Genomic DNA, 11,764 nt, shown 5'->3' on the forward strand with positions numbered 1-11,764 from the left:
TCTTTATAAGTGTTCCACAAAACTTGAAAGAATGTGAATCTGCCACTTTGGGGTAGAGTGATCTGTAAATGTTGATTAGGCCAAGTTGTTTGATTATACTATTTATTTTCTTTTATATTCTTACCGATCTTCTACTTGGTCTATCAGTTATTGAGAGGCAGGATTGAAAATCTCTTAGTTATAATTGTACATTATCTATTTCTTCCCCTTTTTTAGAGTTTTTACTTCCTGTATTTTGTAGCTCTGTGATTAGATGCATAAAAATGTAGGATTGTTGGTTTATCTTAATAAACCGACCTCCTTTACCATTATATGATGACCCTCTTTATTTCTGGTAATAGTGTTTGTTCTGAAATTTGTTTTGAGATTAATATAACCTCCTCAACTTTCTTTTGATTAGTGTTAGCACAGTGTATCTTCTATCCCTTTATATTAAAGTACTTTATCTTAAAAATATGTTTCTTATAGACATATATTTATATATATTTATATGTTTGGATCTTGCTTCTCTCTCCCACCATGGACAATCTCTGCCTTTTCACTGAGGTACTTAGACCATTTACATTTATTGTGATTATTGATATTATTAGGTTTAAATTTCATCTTGCTACTTATTTTCTACGTGTTTCATATGTTCTTTGTTCACTTTTTCCTCATTTTCTTACTGCTTTTGCCTTAATTGGGTGTGTTTGATGATTCCATTTTGACTCCTTCTTGACTTTTGAGCTGTAACTTTTGTTAATTTGGTGGTGGTTTTTAGGGTTTATAGTATGCATTCTTACCACGATCTCCCTTCAAGTGATATTATACTACTTCACATATAGTAAAAGAACCTTACAACAGGATACTTTCGTTTTTCCATTCCCAACCTTTGTGGTATTGTTTTCAGACACTTTTGCATGTGTTAAAAAAATCCACATCTTATTATTTTCATCTTAATAATTATCTTTTAAAGGAATTTAAATAATAAGAAAAAAACCTCTTGTATATTTATCCATGTAGCTATCATTTCCAGGGCTCTTCATTCTTTGTATAGATCTGGATTTCCATTTTGGTATCATTTTTTCTTCTGGCTGGAGGACTTCCTTTTACATTCCTTGTAGCACAAGTCTTCTGATGATGAATTATTTCAGCTTTGGTATGTCTGGGAAAGTATTTTGCTTTCATTTTGAAGTATATTTTGCTGTACAAATATATTTCTGCTGGAATGGCAGGGTCCTTTTTCTCCTTTAAGCACTTTAAAGACATTGCTTCCCTGACTTGTTGTTTGCGTTGTTTCCAGTAAGAAATGTGTTGTTATCTTTATTCCTCTGTGTGTTTTTTGCTCTGGGTTTGCTTAAGATTTTCTCTTAATACTAGTGTTGAACAATTTGTTCTGTTGTGCTTTGGTATATAGTTTTATTCATGTTTCTTGTGCTTGGGATTCATTGAAATTCTTTAATCCATGGGTTTGTTGGTTTCATGAAATTTGGAAATTTTTTATTCATCTTTCTTCAGATATATTTTCCGTTCCCCCTTCTCTCTCCTCACCGTCATGAAATCTAATTACACATATTTCACCCTACCTAAACCTGCCCCATATCACTGATTTTCTGTTCTTTTTTTCTCTCTTTGTGTTTCATTTTTGGTAGTTTCTGTTACTGTGTCTTTAAGTTCACTAATCTTTTCTTCTGCGGTTTCTATTCTGTGGTTAGTCCCATCAAGTGTATTTTTTATCTAATACATTGTAGTTTTCCTCTCTAGAAATTTGGCTTAGGCCTTTTTATATCTTTATGTCTGTATCTTCTATATGTGAATGTCAGGCACTTTTCCATTCTCTCAGGAGGCTGTTTCCCAGCCTTGATTGAGTAACATGCCTACTCTGATCAGTGCTCCGCAGGATATTCAAGGACACCCTCTGCGTATCTCCAGGGCTCACTCTGTCTGCATGTCTCTTCCTTCCGGTACTCTGTCTTATGAAATCTGGCTGACTTGGTTTCCCTTGACTCTCAATTCAGGGGATCTGCTACACTCTGCCTGGGTTCCTTACTCTGAACAGTGAACTGTCATCTGGGTTTTGATATCTCTCCAAGGGAGGGATAAATGGTCATTGAAAGCAAGTGAGCATGGTGACGGGGTGGGGGTGGCCTCCACAGGGCACGAAGTGAGTTGTACTGAGTCATCTGAGAGTGCAGTGTGCTGCTTCTGGCCAGTGGGCTTGACAGTTCAGTGTCTGGGTTCAGAATATGAGTCTGCCCATGTTCTAAGCATGTTCTAAAGATTCATATCCCAAATTAGTTTTGATTTTGGTGGCCTATAACATCCATGTGATATGAATTATCAAGCTCAATATATAAATGCAGATACATGTATTCAATTCCGAGTTATGCAAGTGTCTTTTTAAAAACTTTCAACCCTGCAGAATTAGCCTGTGATTAGTTAAGATGAGATCGTTTAAACACAGCAAGAAAATAAGTACAAGGGTACTTCAAAAAGTTCATAAAGTTAAAAGATAAAAAAATGTTTAAAGATATAAACATTATTTCTCAACATAAGCTCCATCAAATTCAAGACATTTTTGTAAGTGCTGATCCTAGCCATTTAGATTGTCCCTAAAGAACTGAATGGTGGCTAGGTGTGGTGGCTCATGCCTGTAATCCCAACACTTTGGGAGGCCGAGGCGGGAAGATCATGAAGTCAGGAGATTGAGACCATCCTGGCCAACATGGTGAAACCCCATCTCTACTAAAAATACAAAAACCAGCTGGGCATGGTGGCACGCGCCTGTAGTCCCAGGTACTTGGGAGGCAGAGGCAGGAGAATCGCTTGAACCCAGGAGGTGGAGGTTGCAGCAAGCCAAGATCGCACCACACACTCCAGCCTGGCAACAAGAGTGAGACTCCGTCTCGAAAAAAAGAACTGAATGTCTTGGGAGTTTAACCATGTCAGTGCAGTCTTTCTTACATTAGTAACTGAAGAAAAATTCCTTAAGCATGCCCCTTAAGGAATTTTTGAGATTAGGAAACAAAAAGAAGTCAGAAGGAGCCAAATGAGGTGGATTTGCAACCACCATAAGGTGGATGGCTCATGATTTCCTCTCGAAACCCTCACACACTTGCCCTTGTTTGATGAGAGGAATAAATAGGCGCTTTGTCATGGTGAAGGTCTCTGGCGAAGCTTCCCCAGGGGGTTTCTGCTAAAGCTTTGGCTCACTTTCTTGAAACACTGTCATCATAAGCAGATATTACCATCCTTTGGCCCTCCATGTGAACCCAACAAGCAAAACGCCTTGAGCATCCCAAAAATGCTGCCATGGCCTGTGCTTTGGCCAGTCAGCCTGTGCTTTGACTGGGCCCCTTCTGCCTCTTGGTAGCCTTTTTTTTTTTTTTTTTTGGATTATGCATTTTCTTCAGGATTGTCTTTGTAAAAGCTATTTTTATCTCCTGTTTGATGTTTGTTCTTGCTTCAATTTTAGCAGAAGTCATGTAGCTCTGATAGGAGCGCTTTTCAAACAGATGTCTTAATCTTCTTAGTGCCTCAAACTAGATCCTATTCAGACATGTTTCAGCAAGTTAGTACAAGTTTATTTTGGTGCCAAAAAATTTTGAAATCCATGAGGTTTTTTCATAATAAGCATTTTCCATGAACTTTTTCAAGACTCTTGTTAAGAATTAGGGTTTCCTATTGCATCATGGATGTCACACATGCAAAGCCACGTGACCTGAACATGCCTGGCCTCTCAGTGGCAGGGGAGCACATGCAGGCATGAGCGCCAGAGGTGGTGTGATACAGGAGCAACCCCCACCTGCACGACCTCATGGGACCCTGCATTAGTCTCAGAAGTGGCTCCCACCCATCCACTCTCAGGCTGCCAAGGTTCCTGGCTCCGTCAGTGCCAGAGTGAGAAAAGACACACTTGTCAGGAAGTCTCATGATTTCAGGTTTCTGTCAATCTTCTGCCCACCTGCCCTGTCAGACAAGTGCATACCCGTGGGTCAGTTCTGCTTTCTCAGCACTGCTCCTATTCTGGTGGCCGTGGAAGAGTGTGAGGCCACTGCCACGGCAGATGCACGCTCAAGTCTGCGTATATTCCTCGGCAGGCAGAATTCCCCCACCACGCACTTCTGTGGCCATGTCTGAGCACAGTGTGCCGCCCGTGGCTGCTCCCTCCCTGGGGGTGAAAGCGGGCTTCACACCACCTTCCTGTGTCTTCCGTTTCAGGCATCAGCAATGCAGAAGCACGGCAGCCAGGGAAGGCCCCCAACTTCAGTGTCAACTGGACGGTAGGCGACTCCGCTATTGAGGTCATCAACGCCACGACTGGGAAGGATGAGCTGGGCCGCGCGTCCCGCCTGTGTAAGCACGCGTTGTACTGTCGCTGGATGCGTGTGCACGGCAAGGTACTGAGGCGCCCTCACCGCAATGCGCCGGCTCCACCTCCCCAATAGCTTGTCTGTCCTCACACCTACTGTTCCTTAAGTTGTTTCATCATGTCATCATGCACAGCTTCCGAAAACGATCACTTGGAATGATTCTTCCTTCAGATTGTTTTAGCTTAGAAGTGTGGCTACGTCCCTGAAACCTTAATGCCATCTCAAAGGCAGCTCTTTTCCTCCCTGCTGCAGGGTAACACCCACTGCCAGGCCACTGTGTGTGGTGGAAACGTCTCTTACTCTCAGATATTGAAAGTCATTATGCAAAACGCAGGGCCAGTCACCCTGCTGTCCCCTCCTTCTCAGCAACATAAAAATTGCTTGGATTGTGATAACCCTCCAGTGGAGTTTTTAAACCTTTTGAATTAGCTGTGGGGCCCTTTTTTCCCCAGAATAAAACTTTATATAGTAAGTCAGGGTATTACTAGTTTGTGTGTATTCTTCAGTCAAGTAGATGGCATCTGTTTATTCTGAGACCAGCATTGTGCACTGGCATGGGAGGTATAGCCAGAAGGGACAGTGCCCGGGAGGGTCCTGTTCACCAGGGGCAGCACCCAGGCCAGCTGCCACAAGTCCAAGGTCCACACAGAAGGAGTTACTGGCCGCATGAGGGAAGGCCTCCGAGGTCATCAGGGTGATGACACACATAACATCCGTGGTGCTTCTTAGAGTTAAAAATGAAACGTGAATCCACTATTGGTGGTTTCCCAGAAGCATGTCTTCAGAACTCGGGGGTCTGTAGCTGCCTGTTTGACCAGCAAGACTGGAACTTGGCAATAACTCAGCCCTTAGGAGACGCCGCACCTTGTTCTGTGTGAAGCCGTTCCCTTGGCAGAAGGCGCCTTCCTCTGGGTTGCTTTCCCCCCAGAAGCCAATGCAGTTCTGAAGGCCATGTTTTGGTATCTTATTAGGTGTTGTTTTCATCTGTTACAGCGTCAACAGTTGCATTTGTTTTTTTATCCCTTCACAGGTTCCCTCCCACTTACTACGCTCCAAGATTACCAAGCCCAACGTGTACCATGAGTCCAAGCTGGCGGCAAAGGAGTACCAGGCCGCCAAGGCGCGTCTGTTCACAGCCTTCATCAAGGCGGGGCTGGGGGCCTGGGTGGAGAAGCCCACCGAGCAGGACCAGTTCTCACTCACGCCCTGACCCGGGCAGACATGATGGGGGGTGCAGGGGGCTGTGGGCATCCAGCGTCATCCTCCAGAACCTCACATCTGAACTGGGGGCAGGTGCATACCTTGGGGAGGGAGTAGGGGGACACGGGGGACCACCAGGTGTCCACGGTTGTCCCCAGCATCTCACATCAGACCTGGGGCAGGTGCGCAGTGTGGGGAGGGGATGGGGTGCGTCAGGGCCCAGCATCGCCGCCTGGCATCTCTCTGCCGCAGCATTTCCCCTTCTGAACCGTCCAGTGACTGCTTTCAATCTCGGTTTACGTTTAGAAATTGAGTTCTACTGAGTAGGGCTTCCTTAAGTTTAGGAAAATAGAAATTACTTTGTGTGAAATTCTTGAATAAATAATTTATTCAGAGCTAGGAATGTGGTTTATAAAATAGGAAGTAATTGTGTCAGGTCACTTTTATGCCACATTATTTTAATTGCAAAAAAGCATCTATATATGGAGGAGGGTGGGAAAATAGAGGTAGGAAATAGTAGCCTAAAGGAAATCGCCACACGTCTGTCTAAACTTAGGTCTCTTTTCTCCGTAGGTACCTCCCTGGGTAGTTCCACACACTAGGTTGTAACAGTCTCTCCCTGAGGAGCAGACTCCCAGCATGGTGTAGCGTGGCCCTGTCATGCACATGGGGTCCCGCAGCAGTGACTGTGTGTCCTGCAGAGGCGTGACCCAGGCCCCTGTAGCCCTCAGCCTCCTCTAGAAGCTTCTGTACTCCTTGTAGGATCAGATCATGGAAAACTTTTCTCAGTTTACTTCTAAGTAATCACAGATAATACATGGCCAGTAATCCCAGGCTGGCCATTCATTCAGGTTTTTTAAAGGATATTTAACTTTTATGGACTAGAAGGAATCACGAGGGCTACTGCACAATACATGGCCTAAGTTCCCTCTGTTCCTTCCTCTGAATCGAATGGATGTGGGTGACCGCCCGAAGGCCTTCACAGGATGGAAGTAGAATGATTTCAGTAGATACTCATTCTTGGAAAATGCCATAGTTTTAAATTATTGTTTCCAGCTTTATCAAAGACATGTTTGAAAAATAAAAAGCATCCAAGTGAGAGCTGGTGAGACCACGTGCTGCTGGCGTAGTGTAGGCCAGACATTGACAGTCCTGACGGGAGCTCAGGGCTGCCCAGCGCCCAGCGTGCACGGGACGGCCCCACGACAGAGGGAGTCAGCCCGGGAGGTCAGGAGCGCGGCGGGCGAGGGCCCTGTGTGGACCACCTCCACCAAGCTCAGAGATTTGCACCAGGTGCCTTGTTGCCTCCGCTCAGGATGAAAGAGGAGCTGAGAGAAGTGCTCTGCCTGCCAGTGCAGTGCCCAGCTCCAAGGCTCTAGAGGGTGTTCAGGTGGGTCTCCTGGGGCCATGGGGAGAGATTGGTGCAGACCTTACCCCACAGCATACACCTGCCACAGCGAAATCCAGGGTGTTGGCACCTGTGTGTCCGTGATGAGCCTAGGAAACCAGAGCAGGGGCAGAGGGGCGTCATCCTCCCACCGGACGCTGGGAGCTCAGACCCCAAAACTGAAACACCGTGGCTTCGGCGGGGGGTGTGCCTCCTGATGTCAGGAGCCCCATCCACGTGTGTCCACACAGATCTCGTCGCAGCACGGCAGGAAGGGGTGCTGCTTAGGGCTCATTGTTGGGGACATGACCGGGTTCAGCGGCTAGAACATCTGCCCCACAGCAGCCTCCTCCTCCACCGAAGAGGGTAGTTGTCTCCCTGAAGCAGTCACAGCAGGCGTCTCTGCCGCTCCGTCACCACAGTGGGGTTTTGTTCAGGCAGATCGCGCTGGGGTTCTGCACCTGCAGAAGGAGAGGGGTCTGTTGTCGCTGGCTTTCCCCCAAGCAGGCTCTTGCACACTCTAGAAAAAACACCTTGTAAGTCTGTGCATTTTTATTGTCTTGATAAATTGTATTTTTTTCTAATGGGGATTGGGAGATGGACTTCGTTTTTAAAAATATGTGGATTTTGGTTACCAAGTTTAGTGTTAATATATTCCATATACATACAAAACTACCCGGTATGTCTGGCTTTTCCCTTCTGTCAGGTAATAGCTAAAGTCAGCATGATTGCTCCCTGTACCACCCCAAATAAGTGAGTGCCTCACCTTGTGGGGCCTGAGCAGCTACCTTGAGACCATGTGAGGTGGCACCTTTCCGGGGTGGACTCGTGCGGCCTTGAGGACAGGCACAGGGCACCCTATCCCAAGCCGTCCAGGCAGGAGGAAGGCAGCCAAGGCAACTGGGTTCTGGGAGCCCTGGGTGGGGCAGCTGTGGGGAGGAACTGGGTTCGGGGAGCCCTGGGCGGGGCGGCTGTTGGGGGGAACTGGGTTCGGGGTGCCCTGGGCAGGGGGCTACTGGGGGGCGGCTGTGAGGAGGAGTTGGGTTCAGGGAGCCCTGGGCGGGGTGGCTGTCAGGGGGAACTGGGTTCCGGGAGCCCTGGGCCGGGGCAGGGGGCGGCTGTAGGAAGGAACTGGTTTCGGGGAGCCCTGGGCGGGGCGGCTGTGGGGAGGAAGGTGACGTGCAGGGGACCAGAGGCTCTGCACTGCTCCTAGGACAGCTCATCTGTAATCAGAAAAAAAATAAACAAAATACAGAACGCTGACTCCTCCGTGAGACAGATCGGGGACCTTAGCACTTTAATCCCTCCCTTCTGAGCGCTCGGTGTGCACTTTTAGACTATAGCTGTTTCATTGACGTGTCACTCTCCATCCAGTGTCCTTGATGTGGCTTTTAGAGACTTAGCAGAAAATTCGACACAAGCAGGAACTTGATTTTTTAAGAAAAAATATTACATTTTGAGGACATTTTGACAAGTAGGGGAAGAGAGGGCTTCTGTTGTTTTGTTTTGTTTTGTTTTGTTAACTAAACCTGAAGTATTAATTCCACAAAGACACTGTCCCTCAGGACCACTCAGGTACAGCTCTGCCAGGGACAGAGTCCTGCTAGTGGGAGGTCTCAGGTGGGGCGGTGTGTTCTGTGCCATGAGGCAGCGACAGGTCCAGATGGATGTCGTCACCACCTTCCTCAGCTCTCATCACCTGGTCGTACGCCAGGCCCACCTCTTCCCAGCAAGGGACGCCAAAGAACTGCAGTTTTTATTCTGAGTCTTAATTTAACTTTTCATCATCTTTTCCTATTTTGGAGAATTTTTTGTAATTAAAAGCAATTATTTTAAAATGTGCAAGCCAGTATCTCACAAGGCATGGATTTCTGTGGAATTTATTTTTATTCAAATAACCATATTTATCTCCAGGCTGTGGAATCGCCACTTTCTTTGTGAAGACAGTGTCTCTCCTTGTAATCTCACACAGGTACACTGAGGAGGGGACGGCTCCGTCTTCACATTGTGCACAGATCTGAGGATGGGATTAGCGAAGCTGTGGAGACTGCACATCCGGACCTGCCCATGTCTCAAAACAAACACATGTACAGTGGCTCTTTTTCCTTCTCAAACACTTTACCCCAGAAGCAGGTGGTCTGCCCCAGGCATAAAGAAGGAAAATTGGCCATCTTTCCCACCTCTAAATTCTGTAAAATTATAGACTTGCTCAAAAGATTCCTTTTTATCATCCCCACGCTGTGTAAGTGGAAAGGGCATTGTGTTCCGTGTGTGTCCAGTTTACAGCGTCTCTGCCCCCTAGCGTGTTTTGTGACAATCTCCCTGGGTGAGGAGTGGGTGCACCCAGCCCCGAGGCCAGTGGTTGCTCGGGGCCTTCCGTGTGAGTTCTAGTGTTCACTTGATGCCGGGGAATAGAATTAGAGAAAACTCTGACCTGCCGGGTTCCAGGGACTGGTGGAGGTGGATGGCAGGTCCGACTCGACCATGACTTAGTTGTAAGGGTGTGTCGGCTTTTTCAGTCTCATGTGAAAATCCTCCTGTCTCTGGCAGCACTGTCTGCACTTTCTTGTTTACTGTTTGAAGGGACGAGTACCAAGCCACAAGAACACTTCTTTTGGCCACAGCATAAGCTGATGGTATGTAAGGAACCGATGGGCCATTAAACATGAACTGAACGGTTAAAAGCACAGTCTATGGAACGCTAATGGAGTCAGCCCCTAAAGCTGTTTGCTTTTTCAGGCTTTGGATTACATGCTTTTAATTTGATTTTAGAATCTGGACACTTTCTATGAATGTAATTCGGCTGAGAAACATGTTGCTGAGATGCAATCCTCAGTGTTCTCTGTATGTAAATCTGTGTATACACCACACGTTACAACTGCATGAGCTTCCTCTCGCACAAGACCAGCTGGAACTGAGCATGAGACGCTGTCAAATACAGACAAAGGATTTGAGATGTTCTCAATAAAAAGAAAATGTTTCACTACTCTGGTGTTGCTGAGACTTTCTTTTCCTTTCAAATTATTTCTGCCCTTGGCTCCACTAGCAGGCCTGGGTATGGACACCCACATGCATAACCTGAAAAGGTGGCTGAGTCCCGCCCAAGAGCTGCAGCTCTGCCTCCACGTGGTCTTGTCACCTGCTGTGCTTGCACCAGTGCTACTGGAATTTCCCCACCTTGGGACAGTCTCCCCTCAGTCCCCACCCCTGTTAGATTCTTGACTTCACTGTCTTCCTGGAGAGCGTGTTGGCGCCTCTCCTATATATAAGGTGGTGTAGAGGAAAAGTAGGCAGCTGCCCCACTCCCATCCTGCATATAAAATGGATGTTGACACATGCCCGTGTGACTCGTTACCCTCACGTTACTTGTGGCTAGAACACAGGAAGAACCTACACACTCAATAAGAGGCAAGGGTGACACGGGTGCTGGGGTGCAGTGAAAAAAACCAGGTGCTAAGTGCCACCATAGAACTATGTTATTTCTAATTACAACACTGGAAGGACAGTCACAATAAGTGGAAAGTTGGCAGCAAAGCGGCATTTCCGTGTCGTGGCTGTAACAGTGTATATATGCTTCACGTACTGTACGAGCACAGGTGGGCCAGGCTGTCTAAGAAGGGAGTCTGGCCGTGGTCTGTGGACATGGGATTTGAGATGGTTTTGATTTTGTGTTCTTATGTGAAAAGCATATCCGTTTGTCTGATGTTTCTACAATTAAATGAAAAACAAATATAGGAAAATATTTTGAAAAGTCAAAAGCATCATACAAGTAATAAAAAAAGCACTATTACAGACAGGTAACTTGATTTTCTCATTTGCATCAATTTTGAAACTATTTCATTTCCCACAATAAAAACGTTAAAATATGTTGCAGCAAAAACAAGCTTCAGAGAAAAGAATGAAGGGAACCCTCTCCCTGATGAGTGAATCCTTTGAACAGTGATTCTTCGGGAGCTGCCTCGGGGGCCACACCAGATGGAATACTCGGACTCACTATTCTGTCATGGAACTGGGGAAATGTCCGAATTTGACCACGTAAGATGAAAGTTTTGCTTTTTACGAGATACTGTATAGTGAATCTCGTAGAGCCTGGCTGTAAATGTTGAGGTTCTCGAGCTTTTATTCAGTACATGCGTAATGAAGGCCGACCCGGAAGGCACTATTTCAGGTGCTTGGAACAGGTCGGTGAACACAACACAGACTCCCCCCCAAATAGCTGCTGCTCTGCAGGAAAGCAAATAACACACCAGACGCCAGTGTCAGGGAATGGTGCCTGGGAAGAAAGAAAAAGCAGGTGAGGATAGTGCAGTGGGGCGGGCTGCAATGGTAAGTACTGGGATCAGAGTAGCCTCACAGAGAAGGCTTGCAAGGCAGATGGTCAGCCAGAGGGGGCCTGGCGAGCCCGGGGCACTGGACCAGGCATCAGCGTGCCACTGCTGGAGGCTGCAGTGCCAGGAACCTGGCCCACCAGTAGGTGAACGCAGCTGTTATTTAACGTCACATTTGATAAACTCAGAATGATATTAAAAACAAAGGTAAACACTCGAAACTCGTCACTTCCTACTTTTTGCTGCATTTTACTGCAATCTGTGTTCTTACTGTGTGCATACTCTGCAATGGTGGGCACGCCCCTCCTAGGCTGCGTTTGGGAACTCACATCAGTAGCTTGGAATCAGTTGTGGTGGGAGGTTTCACACCACTGGTACCCACAGACACGGTGACTCAAGGCTTGACTCACTGTTGTGATTGTCTCTAGACCTAGCAAGGGATGGAGGAAGATGCAGATCAAACTGCAAATGTAGCTGTTACATTGTGAATGGCACAG

The 11,764-nt window shown here is 46.6% G+C and overlaps 1 protein-coding gene across 28 annotated transcripts in view, besides 1 other annotated feature; it reads left to right on the forward strand.

Moving 5' to 3' along the window:
- ADARB1 (adenosine deaminase RNA specific B1) overlaps positions 1-9,928 on the forward strand; it is a 151,986-nt gene extending 142,058 nt beyond the window's left edge. For 6 of the 28 annotated variants that reach the window (XM_017028251.2, XM_047440660.1, XM_047440661.1 and 3 more), the window contains 2 exons: positions 4,201-4,379; positions 5,383-5,645. In XM_017028251.2, the coding sequence (XP_016883740.1) occupies positions 4,201-4,379; positions 5,383-5,562 (359 nt within the window). In that variant the 3' untranslated portion in view covers positions 5,563-5,645. Of the gene's footprint in view, positions 1-4,200; positions 4,380-5,382 lie in introns of those variants that run through there. The other 22 variants (XM_047440667.1, XM_047440663.1, XM_047440666.1 and 19 more) reach the window with 11 other exon arrangements.
- Positions 3,656-4,222: an enhancer, noted in NCBI's record as "H3K4me1 hESC enhancer chr21:46640206-46640772 (GRCh37/hg19 assembly coordinates)". NCBI's record gives its function as "activates a minimal SCP1, AML or CMV promoter by ChIP-STARR-seq in naive H9 embryonic stem cells {active_cell/tissue: H9 hESC(naive)}" and the evidence as "EXISTENCE:reporter gene assay evidence [ECO:0000049][PMID:30033119]".

The sequence above is a fragment of the Homo sapiens genome, chromosome 21, assembly GCF_000001405.40.
Source record: "Homo sapiens chromosome 21, GRCh38.p14 Primary Assembly".
NCBI classification, from domain to species: domain Eukaryota; kingdom Metazoa; phylum Chordata; class Mammalia; order Primates; family Hominidae; genus Homo; species Homo sapiens.